This window comes from Homo sapiens, chromosome Y (genome assembly GCF_000001405.40).
Source record: "Homo sapiens chromosome Y, GRCh38.p14 Primary Assembly".
Classification (NCBI taxonomy): Eukaryota; Metazoa; Chordata; class Mammalia; order Primates; family Hominidae; genus Homo; species Homo sapiens.
Genome location: NC_000024.10, coordinates 4999988 through 5027317, shown reverse-complemented (window position 1 = coordinate 5027317; position 27330 = coordinate 4999988). Strand labels below are relative to the sequence as shown.

At 36.9% G+C, this 27330-nt stretch overlaps 1 protein-coding gene and 1 pseudogene across 6 annotated transcripts in view; both read right to left on the bottom strand.

Moving 5' to 3' along the window:
- The window catches only part of PCDH11Y (protocadherin 11 Y-linked), a 741933-nt gene extending 714911 nt beyond the window's left edge, over positions 1-27022 (bottom strand). For 4 of the 6 annotated variants that reach the window (XM_017030080.2, NM_001395587.1, NM_001278619.2 and 1 more), the window contains exon 1: positions 26713-27022. The gene's annotated coding sequence lies outside the window, so the exon portion shown is untranslated. Of the gene's footprint in view, positions 1-20582; positions 24631-26712 lie in introns of all 6 variants that reach the window. The other 2 variants (XM_017030079.2, XM_017030081.2) reach the window with 2 other exon arrangements.
- Positions 8055-8242, bottom strand: RNU2-57P (RNA, U2 small nuclear 57, pseudogene; annotated as a pseudogene).

Genomic DNA, 27330 nt, shown 5'->3' with positions numbered 1-27330 from the left:
ATTTATTTTGCCCTATATCTTTTTTGTCCTAATAACTTATTTTAATTTGCAACAGGCTCTCACTCTGCCACCCAGGATAGAGTGCAGTGGTGCCACCATGGCTCACTGAAGCCTCTAACTCCTCAGCTCAAGTCATACTCCCACTTCAGTTTCCCCTGTAGCTGGAATTATAGGTGCACGTGTCACTGTGAGGAGCTAATTTTTTTAAAAAAAATGTTTTTTGTAGAGACAGGGTCTCACTATGTTCCCCAGGCTGGTCTGGAACTCCTGAGCTCAAGCAAGCCCCCTGCTTTGGCCTCCCAAAGTACGAAGATTACAGGTATGAGCCACCGTGCCCAGCCTAATCACTCATTTTAGTGTGAAACTACTCTAAATACATGAAACTGATAAACACTATTGTGAATATGTTTCTATTCTAACATTAGAACCTTGGAATATTAGAAATTCCTTTTTGATATGTTACTACAAATACTGATTTTAAAAATACATGCATACACATACATGTATGTATGTATAATATATATGAGATATGCAATATCTAGATGAAAAGGGTCTAGTGTCTAGTTTAAAGAACGCCAGAAGATTGGATGATGAATTTCCCTTTAGGGAGAAACTGAATTCTGGATCTGAAACTTGTATGTTTTTTTGTATATTTCTGTGTCTTGCGGGACTAAAATGTTTCAAAATGGCTACTACATTTAAATATGTTGAAGTAAGGAATTTTTAAATAGATCACGTGAATAGAATTAGAAGTGGTTGTAGAAAGAAACTTAAATCTGATCATTATCCTTTACATTCACAAAAAAAGTCCTTTTTAGAATAAAGTGTGGTATATTCATTGTTCTTTAATATACCACAAAGGGAAAATGTAACTTCTAGGAGTCTTTTTGTCACTTCAGTTATCATAAATGGAAATGAGTATTTTTCCTGACCATTTTACTATAGGTTATATTTACCAGTTTTCCAAATTCTCTGATTATATCATGTTGAAAAATGAAAGAAGAACACTATTCTTGGATTTCTCTCTAAAACTGAGTAAAGTTCCTCTGGAAAATTATTCTTTCTAAATAGGATGAAATAATATTTATTTGGCTGTCTTTTATCATGACATTTTATCACATGCCTATTATTATATGAACCATTTTTAAACTTTCATACTTAAATTACATAAACATCTAATGGTTCAAAACTAAAATGTTTGTAAATATACAATTTAACAATAAATAATTACACGTTGAACTATACCCTCTCTGACCTAATAAAGTGATCAGTTTAAAAATACAATACCACTTTTGTCATAAAAGCAAAGAAATCCACAACTTTTATACATGTTGATTGAATAGTCATTTGCAAATGATGAAGTAACATTTATTTAAAGTAGCATGTATTTAAAAATAGAATTTCCTCAGAAATACCAGATTCCTCAGAAAAGCCAATAAATACATTACTAAAGACTGTATAAACAAAAGTTAAAATTTTAATCTAATTAATTATATTTTAAACAGTCTTTATTTTTTTCTCACTTCCTCTCCGGTTAATTAAAAATGACCAGAACCACTTGAAATATAAAACTGCCACTTCATATTTTGTGGCATTATTGTAAATAAATCATATTCTCACTGACAAAAAAAAATTTCCATTAAAATGGCATATTTTAAGGATACAATATTCTTTTAATTAACTCGATGATTTTTTAAAATGTTTAATTTTGCTAAGAGTTTGAAAAGACTTATTTGGTAAAAAGAGAGAATGTATCACAATGTTAACATTGCTTAAGCTACTAAGAAACAATATTCTTTATTTGTAGACTACTGTTGCCAGCAAGGCCACCAATACAAGAAGCATAAAACTTCCACAATTTAGCCAACAGTGGGGATTATCTCTATCCATATGTGATTGAAAAAATGTGGGAAAATTCAGTTTTCTACTCAGGCTATTTGGATTCCTGCTGCCAAGATCATATACACACTAGCAAACTCCTGCAAGTCCTAATCCTATTAAAAATATATATAAAGGAAATACAGATCCATGTTTCTGCAAATTACTATGCTGACAAATACAGTGATTCACTAAGCAGCTGGGGTCAACTTAATACAATTTCCAAAGAATGTAATCAGTTATTAGAATAATAGTAGCTACCATTTATTGAATTCTTATTACATGCCAAGAACTGTGATAAGTGCATTTAATACAGCAGTCTTATGATACATGCACTGTTATTGTGACTTCCGTTTACATATGAGGGAATTGAGACTCTAAAAGTTTCAATAACTTGCCCAAGGTCACAGACCTATTAAGGTATACAACTAAAATTTGAAAGAAGATTTATATGAGTCGAAAGCTTAAGCTCTTAGCTACTACACAGACTTTAAACAATACAAAATATGTTTTTTTTCACTTACACTAACCTAAATAAAACTTAGTAAAGTTTTGGAATCAGAATCTAGATTGTAATTATTAAGGACATCACCCAAAAAAGAGCTCTTCTGTTTGAAATCCGAGTTTAGAAAAAAAAATGAAAAAGATAACTGATGGCAAATGGTTTTAATTTACCTTTTTCTCAGGAATCAAATTTTGCAAAATTTCTGATAATGGGATAAACAATTATACGGAGGCTTCATTCCGTATGTTTCTATAATCCATATTAAATTGCAGACACAATAAATCTGCAGAAACAAAAAATGCTAACATTTGATCCAAATGCCTATCTTATTAGAAAAATGCGTATTCATTCAATAAGTAATTGAATAGGAAAATAGATTTACTTGATGCTACATTTAATTGAAATTTATGTTGCATAATTGGGTAATTTGTACTGAGGCATTAATAGAACTGTGTTTCATTTTTCAGGAACTCATATTAACATTAAATCAGAAGTCTCAACTTTATAAACTGACTTTCATTTTATCTTAGCCAAAAGGCTGAGAAGTGATCAAATCTCACTTCCTCCAGAAGTATGCATTATTCATAAAGACTTCTCCAACACTAATTTTTACTTAAGACTAAGTAATTGTCCGGACAAATCTGCAGATGTGAGGAGAAATTCAGAAGATAGTTCCACCGATAATTATGATTTTCTCTGTTTCAGTACATCTGAACTGTGACCTTTGTTTACTGGTTGAAATAGATAAAATTGCTGATATTTAACCAATTTTGACCTGAAAAATAGAAATTTCATGTAGTCCGACATCATATATTCTATATAGATATTTAGTCAGACTTTCCACTAATATGCAATTCTCCATACAAATCACTACATCAATAAGTAAAGATTTATTCCAAATATCTGGGAAAAGCACAAAACTAAATGTGCAGGAAAAATTATTTCATGCAGGTGGGCATTAATAAATATATGGAAATTATCAGAATGTGTGGGCCTTCTTAATAATGTAACTTTAATATGGGGTGAGGAGTAGGATGTTTAAATATGCAAAGATAAATTTCTTATTTGAGAGCTGTTAAAAGCACAGCAGACAAGACAATGTGTGGTGGTGAGAAGCAGGAAACAGGGGATCCAAAAAGGTGTATTTTAGTCAACAGAATTAATTGATCTAAATTATGTGCAGCATACTGTACTAGCATAGGTAACCATAACTGTGAAGAAAAAATGACAAAAGACACACAAATATGAGCTGAGAGAGAATCCTTTTCTAGTATCTACATAAAGAAAATTGCCCAAATTTAATTTGAAAGATTTCCACTGAGGGGGAACACAGATTGCCAACAACAACTTAGATAGACATGTTACTCCATCTCTTCTAATGTGTGCATGCAGATGCATGTGTATGATTGTCAGCATTGCTCCTTAAACATATAGAATGCTATGAAGGACAGGAAGAGAATCTGCCCCACTTGCCATAAGGGCAGTTTCCTGAATTATTTCAGTGAAGCATTTTCTCTCGAGACCAATTCTTCAAGAAAGTGCATTAATAATGCATCAGTGTGCTTTCAAATCAATCAGGATTTTATTGTTTCATTTAAATAAAGTTATTTAATATATGTTGGCCTTTCAGACTCTTGCCTCTCCTAAGCATCTTTCACATATACTGTCATCTAAGTGTGACTGGGAGTCATATGTAACACCTGGAGGACTGATAACAAATGCCATTTTTAACACATTCTGAGAGCTTGATATTTGGAGTCTATGATGAATTCATTTACACAATGAAGAATCTTTCTGCAAAACAAATCATTAGTAACTAATACTGCATTCATATCATGTATAATTTCAGCTTTAATGTGAAAATATTTCTGGTTTTAAAATATGTAATTTATCTATATGAATTCACTTTGTGTATAAAGTGTTTTAAAGTGTTTATATCACTCCAAAAATATAACTTTCACTAATGAAAGAAAAGTTTACCTTATTCTGGAAAATCATGCTTGGCTATTTCCTTCCCCTTGAATATAATCAAAGGCAATCTACTACTTCCATGCAAATGTTTTTCAAACAGTTTCTGTTGAAGAAATCTCCATTATTCAGGCACAATATGCAGCCGATGTTACCTTTTGTCTGCATTATGACTCAAGACCCTCTTTTTTGTTGACTAACAAAGGCAGAAAATGAATACTGCTGTTTAAAATCCTTTATGTTTCCTTTTAAATTCTTTTGAGTTGAATAAGTAACTGCCCTTCTTATTTAAATCATTTTACTTGAAGCCTAGATGGGATAATAAACTCTTTTTTTTTTTTTTTTTTGAGACAGGGTCTTGTTCTGTTGCCCAGGCTGGAGTGCAGTGGCATGATCATGGTTCACTGCAGCCTCCACCTCCCAGGCTCAAGTAATCCTCCCACCTCAGCCTCCAGAGTACCTTGGTCTACAGCCGCATGCCACCACACCTGGCTAATTTTTTTTTATTTTTGGTAGAGATGAGGTTTCATCATGTTGCCCAGGCTGGTCTGGAAATCCTGGGCTCAAGCTCTCTGCCCCACTCCACCTCCCAAAATACTGGGATTACAGGCCCAGGGCGCCCAGCAATAAACCTTTTTTTAAAAAACAGCATTTCTATGTTTTAAGTAAAAATGAATAACTTTTGAATGTAAAATAAATATCCCTAATATTAAATGTAAGCCATCAAGTATCTTAACATGAATGATCAACTGAATATATTTATTACAGGGTTAATTTGCCTTTGGTTTTGCCTTTTTTCCAAAGTCAATGATAGCAGTAGAAAGGGTCTAAATTTTCAAAAGAAAGCAATTGCTACCTCACCTGCTGAGTGGAAACAACCAAAACTAGGTACATGAACATTAACTTAGACATAGAAAATCATTTTAATTACAGCAAAATAATCTATTATGTATCATGTTTGTTCCAAACGCTAAGAAAAAATATCCATAGTTTTCTGTGTTAATTTTGTCAGACAACATTTAGATATACAGTACATCAAAGCCTTATTCTCCTAGGCATATATCCTTTTACTGTGCATCTCCAAGACAATTGAGGGCTAAAGTCAGAGTATGGGGCAAGCAGTTGCCTTAAAGAGCCAAAGCACATATTCCTAATTGTACGTTTTGTTTTTACTTTTAGACAAAGAGATGCTTAAAAACAGAATAATAAAGGAGATTTTCAAACTGATTATTTTTTGACATAGAGGCCTACTTGTAGAAGAATGGAAGTAGAAAACAGAGTGAACTGCAGTAAAATATTTAATCTTTCAACAACTTACTTTATGAAGAAAGAGTAGTGAAAATTCAATGGAAGAAGGAAAAAAGAGAGTAGAAGGAAAAGAGAAAGTGGAGAGAAAATGGAAGAGTGTGAAAATTGTTATGTAAAAATATTTTCTTTTTGAGACAGAATCTCTCTCTGGCGCCCAGGCTGGAATGCAGTGTCGCGGTCTCGGCTCACTGCAACCTCCGCCTCCCGTGTTCAAGCGATTCTTGTGCCTCAGCCTCCCGAGTACGTGGGATTATAGGCGTGTGCCACCTCGCCCGGATGATTTTTGTATTTTTAATAGAGACGGCGTTATGCCATGTTGGCCAGGCTGATTTCGAACTCCTGGCCTCAAGCGATCCACTCACCTCGGCCTCCCAAAGTGCTGGGATCAATTACAGGCGGGAGCCACCGCAACCAGCCACAAAAACCTTAATGAGGTATCAGTTGAAACTCCCTACTATCAGTTCAATCTCCCTACTATCAGTTCAATCTCCCTACTATGTGAACCTGGCAACTTTCTCGGACCTTTTAACTCCCCTAACCTGGAATGCTGTAGGGTGTACTAAAGGAGTCAAAATGCTACTAGTGTCAAAGCAATAAAAGATATTTGGAATTGATTCTGTAAATGAAACCTTAAATGATCTAGTTTGTTATTCCTTGATTAGTATACACGATAAATGCAAAATTTTTATTTAGGAACATATGTATAATGATTATATTGCCATTTGTCTAAGCAAGAATATATGGACATATGTATCCACCTATGCCTCTCCATAAATACTAATGTCTAATATATGAATAATAGACATATATCTTTATAAGTGCACTTGCAAAATGTGTAGAAAATATACAACTCTGTTATGTGGCATCTCATCTGGTTTTATAAGTTATATGTAACACCTAATTTAAAAAACTTATTTATTTACTTATGAACACATATCATTGTTCAGTGTTTATGATAATTTATGAATATAAATGTTTAACATCTAGAGCCTCACACCTTTCAGTTCTACTCTGAATAATACATTTTTATTCAAGTTTTATCACTCATTTGCACAGTCAGACAAATTGTTAAAGAGTCATTATTTTTATTTCACAACCAGGAAACTCAGTAGTTTTGCAGAAATTCATAGTAAATCAAGTGAAAGGCCAGAAATCTACTTTCTTTTGTGAATCTTTAAACAACCTTATCAAGCTCATTTATATCATATATCACATTATACCAAAAAAATGCGTTTTACTGTTCATAGCAAACAGTCTCTTAGTAATCATCTCACACTCACTCTTGTGAGCCTAGTACAATTCCTCAATAGACATGTGGTCTTTTACTTAACAGAATTATGTATGTTTGTGATTTATTATTAATTGAAGGATAACAGAAATTTTATCTATAGATACACTTTTTTTAATGTCAGTGAAAAAAAAGATTTGTGTTTAGGAGGTCATGGATTTAGTTAAAACCTCTATTCAACTTTGTGGAATATCCTAAAATTTTAATTTCAATTATGCATGTATGAGTTTTTTCAAGAGATAATTCTGGAAAATAGAAAATATGGAGTAGGTAAAAAATAAGCTATTCAAAATCTCTGGTGAAGGGGTAGGGTTTCATTAAGTATTAACTGATGATATATGATAAGGAAAACAGAATAAATGTGACCTAAGTCTTCATTTCTAAAAGTATATTTTGAATATAAACATTTTATGATTTATTATATAATTTCAGAAATTATGTATATTATATATATTAAAGGAAGAAATAATCCATGTCTGAGTAAAATACATTCCAACAAGAAATGAGTTCTTACAACCTCACTGCTATCTAGTGGTATTATATCCTAACAGCAGGAAGACAACCTAAGTCCTACAAAAATAGGTTGTTTTCTGTGAAAAGTAGAATTTTCAAGTAACAAAGTGATACTGAATATTAGCAAGAGAAACATAGTTTCTAAGCATTATTAAAAACAAATTTCTATTTGTCTAGATCCACTTTGAAGGCCATTGTGTATCATATATTTGTAAAAGTATCTGTGTACTTATATTTTAGGAAAGTGATTCTACTGATTTTTTTTTTTTTTTTTTTTTTTTTTTTTGAGACGGAGTCTTACTTTGTCGCCCAGGCTGGAGTGCAGTGGCACAATCTCGGCTCACTGCAACCTCTGCCTCCCTGGTTCAAGTGATCCTCCTACCTCAGCCTCCTGAGTAGCTGGGATTACAGGCGCCCGCCATCATGCCTGGTTAATTTTTGTATTTTTAGTAGAGATGGGGTTTCACCATGTTGGCCTGGTTGGTCTCGAACTCCTGACCTCAGGTGATCCACCTGCCTCGGCCTACCAAAGTGCTGGGATTACAGGCGTGAGCCAACACGCCCAGCCCGTAACACTGTGTTTTAACCCCCGAGGGGAACACCGTTCTTGGAGGTACTGCAATACCAGGTCAATGTGTGGAGTGGACAGAGCATGCTCCTATTCCATCTCCCTGCTCCAAAAATCCATGTAATATATTGTCCTCGGACAGAGGATACATCAGATATTAAACTGATAGGAACAGATACTACACTCTATCTTAGCCAAAAGGCTGAGAAGTGATGCTGATTCTTTTCTTTTTTTCAAGTTTTTAAAATATCAAGTTAAGAAAAAAAGTATAAAGCTTAGCTACTAGAATGAAAGTCTAGTTGGGCAAATTTCTACCATGCTGTTTCCTTGTCTGTACTTATCAAGCAAATGCATCTGTGTTCATCTATGTTTTTGTCTGTACTTCATTTGCATCATTATTGCATGATAATAGTTTTGAAGAAAATAAATCCAAGAGAAGATATTTTAAATTTTGACTGACTTCTGATCAATATCTTTGACTCATAATATTCCATTCTGACTAAATACCCTAAGGATATGATTAAAGAATAAGGAATTGCTGCATTTTAATTGTCTTAAGTAGAAATATAGAGTGAGTTTTTTGGACAATAAGGCTAATGTCCACATAAAAATAAAACCAGCAGTTAATTTGGAAGAAAATCAGTTAAAATAATTGATTGATTCAACTAGATGTATTATGCAGATGGATTATAAATAAACTCAATTCTCCCTTCACAGTTCAAACAAATGTTATTTAGTTATTTAATGCTGAGAGACATTTTATCCCTCCAGTATTTATCTCAGTATTATGAGTCAGGATTTCTGAACAGAGACTAGAATTGAAAGTTCTTATTTTAACTTGAGATTGTCCAAGCAAATCCATTAAAAATCAAAACTGTACATGCCTCTAGATCAAATCTGTCAAATTTCTAATACAAGTGAAACAAAAATGCAATCATCTTTGATGAGAAAGATCACAAGCCATCTATAATTTTAATTTGCTTAAACTCATTATATAATCTACAACAAAAGTAGAATTATCAAAGGAGAAAATCTAGTTTTAAATTAGACACTTAAAGTGTGTGTGTTCACATTCACCAGGCTGTTACTGAATTGTTAACGACAGGCAATTTTATAGGTAGAATATTTCTCCTACAATTAAGCTGTCCAGAAGAAAGAAGAAAAACCTTAATATTCAGTTTAACTGATGTACTTTTATGTTTCCTCAAGGCACGGTGTTCTGCACTCCTAACACAGTTAATAAAGCTGAGAAATGGATATAATATAAAACATTTATCTAAAAAGAAATTGAAAAGTTTATGTGCATAGTAATTATTAATATAGTTAAATGATATTTCAAAATATAAACAAAAATACATTTATATTTCGCATTCTGGTTAAAAATCTGGACTGTGAAGTGAAAAAGATGTGAGTGTGATCCCTGATGTGGCCATTTACTGTCTTTGTACATTTAGGCAAGTCTCAATTTCTATATTCATACCATGGAAATAATTAGACTACCTCCTGCTTCACAGAGGCACAGAAGTAGACATCTAAGATATAGATAACTAAGGATAAATTTGTACCAACTACATATATAATGATTATCCAGTATGCAAAATGTAATTATTTTGGTAAATTTGGCATTGGTATTTTAACCATAATCTTTGGTTCAAAATGAACTTGGGTTTTTCAGTTATTTGAACTTGTTACTTTTAATAATCAGTTTATCAAGTCAGCTATATCTAGAAGAGATAAGAAAATGATATTGACAATTTTTCTGCCCTTTTAGTCCTTTAACAGTTTCCAACTTTACTTGTTTGTCTTCAGTAGCTTCTGAATCAAGGAGATTCTTTCTCATTGAATTTTTTCACCACATTACTAAAATTTCAAAATTTATCTATATAGTAGTTTCAAATAGTTATGCAATTAAAAAAACTACACCTAAAATTTTCTCTGAAAATTAAAGATGTTCAAATTATTTCTTAAAAGAATTTACTCTAAAAATGTATACTATGCAGTAAGAATACATGGCTCTGGTAGAAAAGAACACACAAAAAATTAATAGACCAATAACTATGTTAGATCAAATGCTGTCTGTTCACAAGGAAAATCTTTTACATTTTGGAAAAAAAAGATAGCTATGTAAGATAAATTTTCATTCAAACAAATATAACAAGACTAAAATATAACTGAGGTTGCTGGCTTTTATACTACTTCCTTGCACTTAACCAAACTTGTTAATTTATGTTTTGAGAACAGCATGACCTTTAAAGGTATGTTTGCTGAAGAATAGTTTACAACTCCATTCCATTAATCTATTAAAAGTCTAATGTGTTAGACATTTTTAGCAATAGAGCAAACACCTTTAAAATATTTAAAATGGGGCAAATATTTATTTTTCTGTAAATAAGCAAAACATAAGTTCCATAAATTGGATGATTGGTATTGTTTATGGAACATTAAAACTTTACCTTAATGTATTTTGGGGTCTTAAGTCATAGGGACCTGCTACAAAAATTAAGATGACTATAAAACTGTTCTTACAGTATTTCTGCAAAACAAACTTCTTGGATTCAAGAGAGATCTAAGTTGCAGTAAGGTATTATAGTGATATTTCCGTAAAATTTAAAGTTTAAATTGTAGCATAAAACCTCATGTAGGAGACGTCCCTAACATTCAAGAAGGTAAATGTTATAACATATGTAACATTGCTTTATAAAATTTAAGTTTCATTCAGAAAATTAGTTAATGAGTTAGTATTTTTATGTCTTTAATTTGTTGAAAAAGAGTCACCGTTTTACTATTTAACACACATTAGTTTGGTATTTACCATTCAAATCTATAACCAAAACTAGTTTTAACACTGGACTATTTTGGGCTATATGATCATTATACATGTGATTTAAAAAAATGTACATAAGCCCTTTTACTGTGGTGAAAGATGTGACAGGACAATATAGTGAAAAGCACACTGACCAAGCAGACCTAAATTCTATTTCAGACTGCCACTAAGTTGCTTTTGTGACCTTGGGCAAGTCACTTCAAAGGGAATGGAACCTTCTGGAAAACACACGTTAAGTCAGTAGGTGTAACTGTTCATAGCTCATAGTTAAACAGTATTTGTGTTTTAAGTTACTTCCAAAAGAGCACAAGTTATGCACAAAGACAAAAAAATATCAGAAATGACCTTCTGTATCAGTCTGTTTTCACATTGCTGATAAAGATATACCCAAGACTGGGCAATTTACAAAGGAAAGAGGTTTAATGGAGAACTCACAGTTCCACGTAGCTGGGGAAGCCTCACAATCATGGCAGATGGCAAGGAGGAGCCAGTCACATCTTATATAGATGGCAGCAGGCAAAGAAAGAGGTTGTGCAGAGAAACTCCCATTTTTAAAACCATCAGATATCATGATACCCATTCACTATCATGAGAACAGCATAGAAAAACCCGCCCCTATGATTCAATCATCCCCAACCAGGTCCCTCCCACAACACGTGGGAATTATAGGAGCTACAAGCTGAGATTTGGGTGGGGACACAGAGCCAAACCATATCACCTTCCTAAGTAAAAACAGGAAAATCAAATAAACTAGAAATTCCAGGTTATTATAGAATGCCTAGGGACATGCATTTCACTACAATAATTCCTACTTTCTTCATTTGGAGCCACTAATAATGAGAACAGAATGAATACCCCAACAGCAAACAAGTATATTTTCATCAAAACGTTGCTAGTCATGATTTACCTCAGTGTATTGCTAATTCAGTAGAATCTGAATATCTCATCACAATTTGTATTTTTTTCTGCAAAGAAATGTTATCCCTAACCTAGATTCTATATCTGAGAAACATTTCCTCTCTTTTCCTTCCTTTATTAAAAATCTCAAATCACTACATAATTCCTAGGTTAAATTATCTACCACCAGTAACTCAGTCTACATGGCAATGGTGAAAAGCTCATGGAATCTTAAGTTACTCCTAACTAAATTGACGATGACTTTAGGCAAGCCATTTAGCTAATCTGGACTAGTAGCTCAATTCTTCATTTGAAAAACAGAAATGGACAAAAGAAAGGGAGGCTAAAAATGTCTGCTCCAGCTAATCCGCAGGGTTGTTTGAAGTGTTAAATGGTTATATGTAAAGGCTTCTTTCAAGAAAACATTCACGAATAAATATCACCTTTATGTAGAACTGTAGTTTTAAGGAAACTTTACAAAAAGGATAGTGTTTTTCTTATATTCGGTGGCACTTCAGCACAATATGTGTCATCATTTATATTTTTAAGTCTACTAATTAACTCATGGTATTCACTAAAGAAACTAAACAGGGTTTGCTTCTCTAACAGCAAAATATATTTTTGTAATAGTTTCTAATAATCTAGTTCTTCCAATGGAAAACAAAGTATGAGCTCAGTGGATAAACCTATTCACCCCACATGGTTAACTACTATTACAGAACTCTATTACGGAAATGCTTGAATGTAATTCAAATAAAATTAGAAACTTGAAACCTACCAAAGTTCTGTGATCAAGCATTACCAGTACTTAGCCAGAGTAATACACCTTAGTGTATTATTAACAGTCTATATCTGAGCCAACCCATAGCCATAATTTTCCTTTTTGCTCCCAAATACTCTCCCTCTAGACCTATTATTTCAAATATTTTTATCTTCACAGAGAAGACAATCCTTTGAAGTTTGACTCTGGTTTCCGAAATTATTTGAAAATAGAACCAAATCCTAACTTGTTTTCCAACTTAGTATTCCTTTCTTGTTCAATCTGATAACATCCTTATTTCCTAGTCCACTATTGACTACTGTATAATTGTATAGTTATGTTAATACATGTTTTAAATTACTAAAGCCAGGGATATTACAATAGTTTTGCCGAATAAGATTCAATAAGTGCTCACTGAAACTCTGTAGTACAAATTTAAAACTTCTAAAAAAGTAAATATAATATATTCTAAATTGTTATTTAATATATATCCTTAATTATATTTGAACCTAATAAATTGGTGCATATATTAGCTGATAAAACAAATATTATTCCAGGGATAAGAACAAGGATCTATTATTGTCTCTGACACCTAAAAGGTATGTGATTTTAAGAATAGAAAAATTTGTCTTGCCTCTTTCCTCATATGTTAAAAATATATAATATATGCAATACCTGTTTCACAGAACTGTTGTGAGATTCAGATGAAAAAAAATCTGCCAGAGTACCCTAAAATGCAATGAAAGCAATTTAAAAGTGATAATGTAATTATTTACATAGTAAAATCTGTGATATTAGTGATATTGCTTTTAGTAGTTACTGCAAAGTGCTATTTCCAGTATTTTGTTTAGTTTTTGTGTTAAGTTTCATGATAAATCTGCTTTGATTTTTAGTTTACCTGTTTCAAAAACTTAGTAGTTTCAGTTACAACCAAAGCATGTTCTTGGGTGATCTATTAATGGGAAAACCCACAATTATTTTTGCTTCGACCTAATAGTTGCTATCATTGGCATAGGATATAAAAATATAAAAAGTGTAATGATATTGTAAAGGAAATACTGTATATCATGTTCTCAAAGTGTCTTCCATTTCTCTGAATCATGATGCTTATTTGAGTTGTCAGTCCTTATCCTGGAACCTAATTGTAACTGAGAATTGTAATTTTTTTTCTAATGAATATAATTAATCCATTTCCTTTAAAGTTCTTACTAATTCTTTTGTGATCCTATCATATTATTAGCAATTGTAAGTACTTAGACATTTAGTATGTATTATACAGTATTGTCTTCTGGCTAATATTGCTCAACCTTCACTGCCATCTCTTTAAAATCTATTCTTCAAGTCTGTGATTTATGATTAAAATTTCATCCAGTTATGTAATATTTTCCTGTAATTAAACTCATTCTAAGATCTACTCAAATTGATTCTGAAGCTGGAAATATAAATGACTTAAAGTTATGAAACTGAATTGGAATAGTCTGACATCATTATTTTGTTTAATATTTTGAACCATTCTAATATTTGCTGGATCAGGCCAAGAAATTATTTCATATTTTTTCCAGTTATGAGTCTGAGATAGTCTGATTTTTGGCATGTATTTAATTACATATGATTTTTTATTTTAATGCCATTGTAAATTAACTCAATTGTTTCTCATTGTCTTAAAACATGAGGCCGGGCGCGGTGGCTCACGCCTGTAATCCCAGTACTTTGGGAGGCCGAGGTGGGCGGATCACGAGGTCAGGAGATCGAGAACACGGTGAAACCCCCTCTCTACTAAAAATACAAAAAGTTAGCCAGGCGCAGTGGCGGGCGCCTGTAGTCCCAGCTACTCGGGAGGCTGAGGCAGGAGAATGGCGTGAACCCGGGAGGCGGAGCTTGCAGTGAGCCGAGATCACACCACTGCACTCCAGCCTGGGCGACAGAGCGAGACTCCATCTAAAAAAAAAAAAAAAAATGAACTGATCGTGTTCATAGAACTGATATTTCTATTTACCATAGAGTAAGTTTTCTTCTCTATTCTTTGATAATAGAGTATGAAGATGTTTTGCTATCTGTTTATTTTGTCTTGATTCTTATATTTCTTTTCCTTTTTGTATATTTTGGATTTTCCCTCTCAAAAAAAAAAAAAAAAAAAAAACCCTAAAATGATATAGGGTATTTTGGCTGCTATACGTGCCCCATTAGGTACATGGAAACAGTCTATGCTTAAATGGTATGGTTTGGATTCGGGTCCCTACCCAAATCTCAGGTCCAGTTTTAATCCCCAGTGTTGAAGGAGGGGCCTGGTGGAAGGTGATAGGATCATGGGGGTGGATTTTCCCCTTGCTGTTCTTGTGATAGTGAGTGAGTTCTCACGAGTTCTGGTTGTTTAAAAGTGTGTGGCACCTGCACCTGCTCCGTCTTCCTCCTGCTTTGGCCATATAAGACGTGACTCCTTCCTCTTAGCCTTCTGCCATGATTGTCAGTTTCCTGAGGCCTCCCCTAGCCATGCTTCCTATACAGCCTGTAGAACTGTGAGTCAGTTAAACCTTTTTTCTTTATAAATTACCCAGTCTCAGGTAGTTCTTTATAGCAATGCAAGAACAGACCAATACAGAAAACTGTTAGCAAGATTGGGGTTCATACCCACGTGGGCGCTAGCTTAACATTATTAAGTAATGTTAAGAGTAATGAAATCCAAGGCAATTTTGGCAGACACTCAAGTTCATTTAGCACTTACAAGAACATTTTAATCCAATTGGCCCTTTATCTCACTGAGATCCTCAAATTATTACCACTAAACAGACTTTGCTGTTCCTGTAAGTATCAGAGCTTAGAAAAGACTAGTACAGTTTCATCGGGAAGGTGATGGCTTCTGAATCTCAATGGTACAATTAAGACATGAATTCCAACGCTGAAGTGAAAACTTTCAGTTGTTTTCCTAACCCTGCTAGAACTATACCGTGTCTCCTAGCAAGCACAATTTAAACATTTACACTTATTTCAATGGTTGCTTTCAATGTCATGTGTTTTAACTTGATACTGTTTCTGAGCTGCACATAAAGAAATGAGAACTATGAAAGTTTTCCTAAACTAATAATGAATGAAAGTTTCACTTAGATTAAGTGACTATTCGGCTGTATTCTAAGATAAAAGTCTAGTTGTGAGGAAAGTGGTTAGCATGGTGTCTAATTTACCTTTGTTCCCACTTTGAGGACTTTTATTTTGAGACAGCAAATACAAAATAATCTCTACCAAGTGTCTTTCGTTGTTGCTGTTGTTGTTCTGCAAAATGTGACTAATAAGAAAATAAAAAGAAGTTCTTCAAATTAGGTAAATGAAAATCTAATTGGATATTCCACTCTAAAATCTGAATGATTAGCTGATATGTTCAATTCTGATATTTTACAAACCAATATCTTTAGGGGTCTATACTATACTAAGACTTCTCACAGCTTTTGGATTTCTTTAAAAAGATTTTAAGATATTGGTACACCATTGACACTGTATGACGAATGGTTTTCATTTTTGAAATGGTATAATCGTATGTACAAAGTGTCCATGAAATAGATTTGACTGCAAAATGGACAAGCAACTGGTTGTTATTCTGAACTACAGTTTCAACCAATATAGTCACACCAAAGGTTAAAATCAAATTTAACCTCTAAATGCAAATAATTGTAAATCTAGTTGAATTTAAAACTTTCATCCATTGCACATACCTAAATTGTTTCTTTTTTCTTTTAAGAAATCCTGTTACCCTTGGCTTACTTCATCTTTATCATGCTTGTTTACCAGACTATGGATCAGCGCCTTTTGGATAACTGTAGTTTGAGGGGCAGCAGCTTCCATGTGTACAGGGAGCTTGTTAGAAATGCAGAATTTCAGCCTCACCTAGAATCTACTGAATCAGAATCTGCATTTTAACATTTCTAGATGATCTGTCTGCACATTATAGTTTGAGAAGCACAGGAATAGAATGTAATTTCCTAGAAACTGGAGTTTAAAATAACAAGTCGTTAGCAGTGATGCTGATTGATTAGTAATTGTATATTGGTTCTATTTCTTTCTAAAGTGTTTTGATTCTGTTATATATGCCAGCTATCCAAGTTTTGAACATTAGCCTTATATTCCCATATCTGTTTACTCCTGTATGCAGTTCTGAGGCATTCAGAATGTCTGTGACTTTCAGTGAATTCAAATGCTCTTTCTTAAGTAATCCTGCTTTGCACTCATGGCCATTATAAAATGGCCAGCACATATTGTAACTGCTTTATTTTATGGATGCTAAAACTGAATTCATGGACTAAGAAAGGCTGCAGACAAGGAAAGCTTTAAGAACTGTGGAGGCAGACTGAAGGGTAAAACGTCACTGACAAACTGAGCAAATTCTTTCCCGATCTAAAAAGAAAGGCAAAGGAAATTCTGCCTGAGGAGCTCTCATGTAAAGGTTTTGTCCTGTTTGTGTGTTTGGTGTGTGTATTACCTATTCTTAAGCCTCTCTTTAAAAAAATTTAATGTATTCATGTTTTGGAAGATTTTGATTCTCACAACCTAGCAAACAACCATCAAATAACAATTAAGGTATTCTTTTTTCTTTTTCTTTTTTTTTTTTTTTTTTGAGACGGAGTCCTGCTCTGTCGCCAGCCTGGAGTGTAGTGGCGCGATCTCGGCTCACTGCAATCTCCGCCTCGCGGGTTCAAGGGATTCTCCTGCCTCAGCCTCCCGAGTAGCTGGGAGTACAGGCGCGCAGCAAGACGCCCAGCTAATTTTTGTAATTTTTTTTAGTAGAGACGGGGTTTCACCATGTTGGCCAGGATGGCCTCGATCTCTTGACCTCATGACCTACCCGCCTCAGCCTCCCAAAGTGCTGGGATTACAGGCGTGAGCCGCTGAGACCAGCCAACACTTAAGGTATTCTAAATATATAATATGAGAAGTAAAAGAGACAAGCTATCCAAGGCAGTTTCAAAAAGCTTCCATATTTCACACTGAAGAGAAAATCAGGCCCTATCATCCAACGCTCTGGTAGTTCTCTTTCTTCTCTATTTGATTTCCTTTCTCCTCCCCTCTTCCTCTGTCACAAAGTAAAATAAAGCAGTCTACGATTACTCAGGAAAGAAGGGAAAGCTTTGCTTTGGCATAATTTTCCTGCCTACGTTTGCCTGACCCATACTCCCTAACAAACGCACATATGCCCTGGCATAGAGAATGAGATTATGTAGCAAACATCAAATTTTAGAGAATGCACTCAAAATCTTCCCCAGATTATATTTAAAACTTAAAGGAAATGTGTACTTAACTATTTAGAGTAAATATGCATTTATAAAAATAAAACCATCCTTCCAGGAATGTATATTTCTAGCCATTTTAAGTAAATGGGCTTTTCCAGTCATTTTTTTAAAAAAATAAAATAATGCATTGATACTTGAATCCATTCACTTGTTTTCCATATCAAAACATCATTTTTTATGTTTTATAACATAATATGCACAATACAGGTGCTTTTAATAATCTCTATTCAATACAAAATTTGGGAAACAGTATTTTCTAGATCTGAGTCAGAGTGGGAAATTGTTTACTGCAACAAAAAACAAACAAGTTTTGGATACATTTAACTTTCTGATAAGATACTATTATTAAATTTGAGCAAAGGTAATTAAAAAGCCCTACATGATGGTGTTTTAAAATTCTAAACACGTTGGAAAGCAGGGAACAAGTATGTTTGTGGAATAAATTAATTCATGCTATCACCCAATACCTTACATGAACTCCTGTAGCACTCATATCTCATCTCTGAGCCTTCCTTTTCTTATCTGTAAAATGAGGGGTTTGGACTAAATTATCTTTCCGGTCCCTTCCACTTTCAGAGTCTATAAAACCTGCACTATACTTGGTGTACTGTAATGTAGAGTGACAACGAATATTTGTTGAATTCAATTTAATGTGACTATATATTACTTTGTTGTTGTTGTTGTTCATTGTTTTAGCCCTATTAGAATATAAGCTTTTCAAAGACAGAACTCTCCAAAATTTCTTTAAGGGCCACCCTTAACATTTAAAGTATTGCAATGCTGGACAAGCCATAGGTTTTTAGTTATTGATGGTTAATGAATCAATACAGTCAAATTGATAATACGTGCAGAGCCAAGGGACAAGGAAAGAATGTCCTAGATGTCTACTGCTTTTTGTAAAATATCACAGGATTTTTTTTTCCCTTTGCAAAGGGCCTTGAAGTAACTTACAATTCCTTCATTTTACTTTTGGGGAAATTGAAGTCCAGGGAGGTGAAGGTTTTTGCCCAAGGTCACTCTCTAGACACTAATAAAACATAAATCATAAAAGACCTTGTGTTCACACAATTTAAATAAACCCCTGCTCTCACTGTACCTGAAATGAGTTTGTAATCTGAAGACAACAAACAACGATTTGAATTTTGGGGGCTTAATATCCTTTCGGTTGATATGATACAAACCCACACTCAACTGATTACCAAAGATATGTTGCTTCCAAAATGTCATGTCAGGAAAAAAAACACTACCTAAAAATCATTGGCAAACATCCCCTAAAATAAATCTTATGTAAAAATACAGGTGTTCTAAAAAAATGACAGTAGGATAGTAGGATATAGGACTAAACATTTGCTACATTAAGTAAACTCAAACTTTAGGGACTGTCATTATGATGGGTCATAATTTAAATTATTTTTGTAAACAAAATGGAAGAAGCATATAAGCATGTACTGTTAACATTTCAATAGTTCTACCATTTTATTTAATATCATATAATGTTTACAAAGCTTAGTGCAAAAAGACACTAAATAGGAGAATATAATGCTAGTAGAAAATTAACTGAAAAACTTATTTTAATATATTTGAATATACTTGTCTTTGAAATTTTATTTTTTAATCCAAGACACATAGATTTTTGCTTTTTACATTCAGAACTTTGACAACATATACTCAAAAATAAAAAAGAGGCAAGAAGGGATGTTGGGAAAAGACCTGGCTTGGAGACTAAAGACCATCAATCCTCTTGAAGCTTCCCCTCTTAATTCTGGAAATTCTTAGGGAGCTGATTTCATCAGCGGGAACTTCAGTCTCCCCATTGACAAAATGGGTATAACCATGCCTTCTTTTTCTACTCAAAAAATTTTTATGATCCTAATATAACTTTTTAAATGATATAAAAATATAAAATACTATACATATTGAAGGAGTTAAAGAATGAATCAAAATAAAGGTGACAGAAAACAATCTTTTAATTTCATTTTATGTGATGATAGTAACTGAATTATATAATTAGCTAAAATCTCAATTTGCACTCTAATCACTTAAGGATTTTTAAAAGAAATGAATTTTCCTTTAGTTTAATTAAAATCCATCAGCAAATTAATTTTATCATTGTCATGCTAAAAGTTATATTAGATTATTAAAACAGTTTTTATTGAACAGAGAAATATATTCTTCCAGAATTTATTCTCTCCTTTCATTTATCTTTCCTCCTATTTACCCAAATCTACACGTTCAAGATGAGCAGATTAGGTGTACAAAAATCATTCTTTCAGATTTGGGCTGGAAACAAAAATTGTAGCCACTGATGTTCTTTGTCTTAAAATGTATTATATTAATCCAGTGCATAACACATTAGAGACAATTAAAAGGGCAGTTTAAATCCTTGAACAGTTGAGGATTTTTAGATTGCAAAAGGATAACAGGTACATCTATAATTTCTGGCAAACTACTCCTCAAATTCAAAACAGTAATTGAAAAATACTCTTTTTCCCACGTTTTGGTGCTGTTTGATAATGAGAATGCAGTGTTTCCCCAGATGTAACTGAATATCAAAAGACAGTTTCACCCTAAAATAGTTTTCTCTATCTGATAAACTTTTATTTTACAATTAACCTTGCATAGAGAATAAATCTTAAGGGACCATGACACATAGGTCATTTGATGTTTTCTCCTAAGAAAAGATAACCACATTTTAGAGATGATGCCTTCGTGAAGAACTTCTATTGAAAAATAACACCATTTCAAATATGATCAATTTGAACATAGCAAGCCAGTTTGGAACATCAAGACATCTTACCTAGTTTTCTTCATTCTGGACACTGAATGATCAATAAAGTCTTCAAATAATAGAACTCTGCTCAGACAATGACATGTAATTTGGAATGTTGTAATATAAAGTCAATCCAATTAAATGTTCCCAAGTATTTTATTTTTCCCAAACGTAGCATGTATATATGTCTTTGATGAAAAATGTATTTTTACAGCATACTCTTTCTTCCCTTCCCAATTCCCAGCGATGTTGAATCAATTCCACTGAATGTAGAGAGAACAACGATATGAGAATTGCACCTTTACCATACACACAGAAAAAGAATTTTCTAAGAGTGCAGTTAAAATAAAACAAACAGGGGTTCCTTTGCCTCTGAAGATTGGTAACTGTATGTTGACATGAACACACGTTGACACAGGCTTTAAAATCCTGTGTGTGGGCTGAGGGGGTCTGCTGAGGGGGGTCCCTTCTCAAAATATTTAAACTTGAGCCACTGTACCAATCCCACAAAGCAAAAAGAAAAAAAGGAGGAGGGGGGGAGGAGGGAATAAAAATAAGAAAGAATTTCACTGAAAATATAAAAGGAATTACCCATGGGAAGAGAATACAGCAGAAAGGATGGGATGCAGCGAAACAGTGTCAGGAGTGTGTCAGTGAGAACTTCAGAAAGGTTGGAAATACTCCCCAAAGTAAAATATTTGAATCCCCAGCCACAACCAAAGGAAAACAGACATTTGCAGGCATAATAAAAATATATAACAAATTGAAGGAATTCCACTAAAAGTCTTGTGTGAACTAAAACAGCAAAAGACACAGAAAGGAAGAAACCTTGATGATGAAAATTTGGCAAATCTAAGCAAGTTTAAAGTAGAGTGGCTTTTCTTTCCCCTTAGCTTCTTTGAGGTCAATGAAAGATAGGAGAATGCAAGGTGGCTAAGGGGGAGGAGGATGTAAAAGGGGGAAATGAATGGACAAATTAGCAGGATAATTAATGCATGGGAAAGGGGCGGGGAATACCTGACTTAGAGGAGGAAAAAGAAGCAAGATAGAGCTATTTGTTAGTGCCTAAAGGGAGGAAAAAGACAAGATTAAGAGGCTCTAACTGGTTGTAGAAAGAAGGCTGAAGTGGGTAAAATGTTACATGATGTAAGGTTCAGAGATGATGCAGGGATGTGTGTAGAAAATGGGGTGAGGTGAAGATGAATGTGCTTGAAAGTGGCTGAAGGAGTGGGGGTCTCCCCAGGACAAAGGGAGTTTACTGGATAGATGGAAGATGGGGAATTTTTCGAAGTCTGGATGGGGAAAGTGAGATGAGTAAAAAGATCTGAGTGGATACATGATGGTGCCTAAAGAGAAATTTTATTCCCCAAAGTAGCCTTCTTTTCTTTCTTAGTTATACTGATTAGCTTTAGGCCCTATTCTTTCATTAGTCCTCTTTTCTGGATGTTACATTATCTTCTTAACATATTTGCTTCCAGTCTCTACTGTAATACATCAATGTATTCAATTCTTCATTTAAATGCAAACAACAATAATATTTCTACTGTGTGCTATCTATTGCCCAATTTTCTCAGGCTATTTTATTGTTGTTACTTTAACGAATTTGCTGGAAAAAAATATTCAAAGATGTTCTAGGTCTACAAAACACACATATACCTCTAAACTTTGTAACAAGACACCAAGCCCTCATGCCCTTCCTTACTTATTCTGTGCAGGTCATGACCTTCCAGATACATTTCTTGGCTAGCCACTGACTAGGAATGACTATTTTTAAAGCCACAGACCTCTCTCTCCTTTATGAACCTCTTCTCAACCTCTTAACAAAAATTAATTCCTCTCTCCATTATGTTCAATTACATCATTTATCACATCGTATCCTAGATCTATAAGAGTGTCATGGCTCAAAGAGGCCCATGCCATGTTTGTCATACTCTCTTTTGTATTCCTAGAGCCTAGCACATTGTCTGGCACAGTAGGTGACTAATTAAAGTTTGTGGACTCCTCAGTGAACAAATACAGGGATGACACCTCCTTTAAATTATGTGAAGCAAGATTCTTGGAGAGAATTAGCCTTCAAAATTTCATTCCCTGAATAATTTTCTTTCCCACTAAGAAAACGTGGCTGCCATACATATTTTTTCAATGTACCTCAAGGCCAGTGGCTTATATAAACTCTCCTTGTCGATGTGCCTCGCCTTGCTCCACCAAGAATCTTATAAATCCTAGCTAAAGGCTGTTGTGGACTGCTTGCGCAGAGAAAAAGAATTTTCTGCTTTCTGAATCTCTTAACCAGATTGCTTCCCTGCCACCAGCAGTCTGGAAGCTCTCTATCAAGAATTTTTATCTCGCAAAAAATAAATAAATAAATAAAGTTTTGAATACCAAGAGAAGGAAGAATGTGAAACCTGCAATCCCTTCTGCCAGGCCTTTCAGCTGCTGAAACCCAGCATTACCTGGACGTCCTTCAGAATCCAGTCCGGTGACAAAAAGGCCAAGGAGCCAGGGGGAAGGGGCAGGGAGTGGGGGTACACAGTTTATTTCAACCCTTAGCAAATGACTGAGCTCTAGAAAATGAGTGTGTTTTATGCTTGGTCGGAGTTTCTTTCCCATTCCTGTATTTCAGACGCACAGCAACTTTAAGTTTGCTGCCAGCTATACGTCATGAAAGGGAAGCTTTTCATCAAAGGGAAGAAGAAAAGGAAGGGGGAAGAATCCTACTTTTACAAAACAGAGTAATTCTTTGCTCCTGCTCCCTTTGCCCACATCTCTCACCTGCGTCCAAACCAAAACACAGTAAGTAAGCAGTTTGTTGCGACACCCCTTGAAGATTTTTTCCTTTGGAAGGTAAATTCTGCTCCAGGCGCCAGTTGCCTCTACACGCCCTGCCTCTGCCCCTCCCTCTTGCCCTGTGCAACCTTCTCCAACTGCATTCTGCGGCCCTTCTACCAAAGCTAAAGAAGGAATTGTCCGCAATCAGGAAAACAGATTAGCCTCCAATTTGGCAAAGCAGGGGCTTGCTCCTTAGGACTATAAGAGCAAGCTCAAAAGGGAAGCCGCAGCGGGCTTCCGTCTTAAAGAAACCTATTCCTGCATCATCCCAATTTGGAGCGCGGGTCTCTAAATAAAGAGCATGGTGGTCTCTCCCCTATGGCAGTAGTGGATAGAGCCTTTCCGCAACTTCCAATTTGCAGTTTCTTCTTTCTGTGAAGGGGATTCCCCAGCCTGCGCTTTCGCCTAAGGTTACAAACCCTCCCCCACCTCACAATTTTGTGGGAAAGATGACCCTCCCCGCCTTCTAGAGAGCTTGCTCTGTGACAGGCGAAGCAGCAGCCACGGGGGTTTTTTTTTTAAAGAGGCGTTCTTCACATCTTTTTTATCACCCGAGGGGAGAGAAAACAGCAGAAATTTAACACCAGTTACTACTATTATTGCATCTGGAACACTTGCCCTCTAAAATGTTGCTAAATAAGTAAAGTCACTGTGAATAGTGAAGGTGCAAGCTGAAAAAGGGAGAGAGCTGGGGCGCGGAGGAAAGGAGGAAATGGAGGAGGGAAGACCCCAAATCTGGGTTTGAACCCCGGGTTTAAAACCGGCGGCGGGCCGCCAGCAGTGGCCACCCCCGCCTCTGGCGCCTTAGCGCGCCTCTGAGGAGCGAGGGACTGGAAGGGGGGGGGCTGCGAGCCAGGACCCAGGAGGGGCCGAAGGGACACGAGGGCGGCTGCGCGCAGGGAGCGCGCGGGGCAGGGCTGCTCGTGCTTGCGGGTCGGACTCGCCGCTCGGCTTCCCATCGGCCGGGCCAAGCCTCTCTGCAGCTGACATCATTGCCAGAAGGAGGGGCTGCCCCTGCCAAGGCGACTGAAGAACAGGGTTCTCCGGCCTGGTAGGCAAAGGCGCTCCCTCGCCGCTTGGCGAGTGTGGCGACCTGGCAGCTGCAGCGGGACTCAGCTTTTGGGAACTGCCGCAGCAATTCTTAATTTAGTCGAGGGAGAAAGGTATCTTTAGACCTTAGCGCATCCATCTCTCGGTTCTTTCGTCAAGACGGCCCGCACACGGTCCGCGCTCTCTCTATGATGAACTAGACAAAGGCAAGAAAGGGGGAAACGTGTACATACACTATTACTTCGACTTGCTTCCAATTGCTTCCCCACCCCCAGCCCCGCCGCGACACACACACACACACGCGCGCACACACACACACACAGACCCACAGAGGAAAGGCCAGCCCTGGCGCTGGAATTTCCTGCTGGGATTGCGAGAGTTTGTTTCAAACAAGATTAAAAGTGGAATTCCGTCAGTCTTTACCAAGTTGCGCGGGTGCCCTCAAGTACCGTTTCCTTTTCTATTTTGAGTCACACCTGTTTTACTTTTTAGGGGGCCTAGATCGCTTTAAGTCACAAAGCACGTCTATGTTCTCAGGTGTGCTCAGCGTTCGGAATTCTCTGCATGCTCCTCAGGTTGTTTCCTGGTTGCAGCGCTAAGAGCGCACAGGCGACTGCTATGACACCATCGCCTCCTCCCCATCTTTGCTGCCCCCCCTCCCCCTTCTACCCGGATTTTCAACCAGTTTCTTCCACACACTTTTCTTCGTACAAAACAGATCCTAGGCTGGGTTTAAATCCCATTTTGTGATGTTTCCACACAAGAAAAAGACACTTTAAAAATTTTTATTTTGTTTGTTGTTGAGCTTTAATTCTTTTTCTTTTGTCCTAGCCCCTCTTCCCCACGGTTTTTGCTTTGTGGGTGTAGGCCGCAGTGGCGCAAATAGCAATTCCCAGCCCCCAGCCCATATTTTGCATCGGAGAGGCCAGGGCTCACCCGTAAGCGCTTCACATGAGCAGCCTAGCGCCCCACACCCTAAGCCGCAGGCGGGTGAAGCAGAGGAACGCGGAATAAATCATTCTGAAGCAAAAGGGCCCACCTTCGGTTAAGCTCTAAAAGTCTTTCCCTGGGAGAGGCAAGGAAGCGGCTCTGGCTGTACACTCTGAGAAAGTGACCTCTCCTCCTAACCCTCAGTCCGTTTGCGACTAAGCGCTCAGATGCGAGTCCCAGCCGCAACCCGGGCGGACTGCCGCTCCGCTCTTCTAAAGTCTAAAAAATGCACCCGTTTGCGGCTGCTCGCTTTTAAAAAGTCACATTTTCCGATGAACCTCTTTTAAAAGGTACATTACTTTCCTCGAAAAAAAAAAGAGCCGTTTTATCGCTACGCGCTTTAAGAAAAAGAATTCCTTTGTGAGGACGTGAACTGTTTCTGGGTTCTGTCTTAGAAAACACCATCTATTTATGGGATAGGTGGGCGGTTTATTGATTTATTTATTTGGCTAAGGGATTACAAGTCATTTCTTTAGAGAAAGAGGAACCCTTTTATGTCTGGCAATACTCTTAGAAAAGTCATTTTTTTAAAATGAGAAAATGATGCCGTTTTTCGGCTAGATTATAAGTTGATTTTTAAAAAATAGGCAGTATTTCTCACACCTACCATCTCCACATCCAGCAGGTGCTGGCTGAGTACAGCCCCATAAATAGGGCGGGAAGGAAGGGCGGGGAGGTGAGCGCCAAGAGAAACAGCACCGGGAACCCTGTGCGCTCCTGGCCCTCCTCTCTGCGCCAAGGGTCGTACCCTCAAGGGTTGGAGCCAGCCTGGCAGGGATCCAAACCCGAGCCCCCAGAGGAGCGCAGCGAGGCCAGGGGTAGTTTCTCAGCTAGAGGCATCGCCCCTCAGCTCCAATCTCTCAGCCGGGCGAGTCTGGGAGTCCGGGACGTGCTCTTTTGTCAACACCCGCCCCAACCTTAGAGTTTCCCTCAGCCTCGCTGAAGCTGGCTGTACCCTTTAAAGGGAGAGACCTTTTTGCACAGCCAATGTCGGGGAAATTCATGCGCCGACACATTTCTGACAAAAGTGAGAGTTTTCCCAAAGTAACGAAGCGCAGCGGTGGTAGTGCAAAAAGATATTCTCCCTGCGCTCACCTCCGGGGTTTGCTCTTTCTCTTCCCTCCCGGGAAGAGAAGGGGGAAGGGAGAATAGCAGAAGCGTCTTTAAAACCACCCCGTTGTCATAGTTCAGACCTCAGGGGCAGGCAGCGGGCAGTGTCCGCGCACTAAGTGTGGACCTCACGCCTCCCTGACAGCACCCTGTACAGGTACCCAGTCCGGTTACTTACCTAATAACGATGCCTTTAGAGTAGAATGAAGAGGTAAACGAAAGGGAGAAAAAAGGCTTCCGCCCGCTCCACGGAGACTGCGACTGCTGTAGCGGGCTCTACCGCCACAGCTCGCAGTCCGCAGAGCAGCCGGAGTCGCTGAGGTTGTTTCTGAGGCTATTCAGGCAGCCCGGGCTGCCTGTGCTGCCTGTGTCGCCGCTGGCACTGCCACTCTGCGCACTCTGTTTGGCTTGCCTTCCTCTTTGCCGCGCGGGCAGCTGAGTGCAGCTACTGCTCACGGCTCCTCCCGCCCAGACAGTTCGCCGACTGCAAGGAGCCAGTGCCGAGCCAGCCCTTTTGAATGGCGAGGGGGAGGGACTTAACAGAGGGGGAGAAAGGGGAAGGAAGGGGGGTGAACCAGGGGAAGGCGTGGGGAGAGAAGTGAACCAGTGTCCGGGCCGCCTGCTGGGAAGGGATGGCGCAGCACCAACTGCTGAGTACCCCCCTCTGGTCCCCACTCCCTGCACCTCACATCCCCCATCGATCCGGGGGCGGCCCCTCCCCGCTGACGGAGAACCAGCAAGAAGGGCGGGGGAGAGATGGAGGTAAGCTTAGGAAGTTACTGCTCGCCTCCTGGAG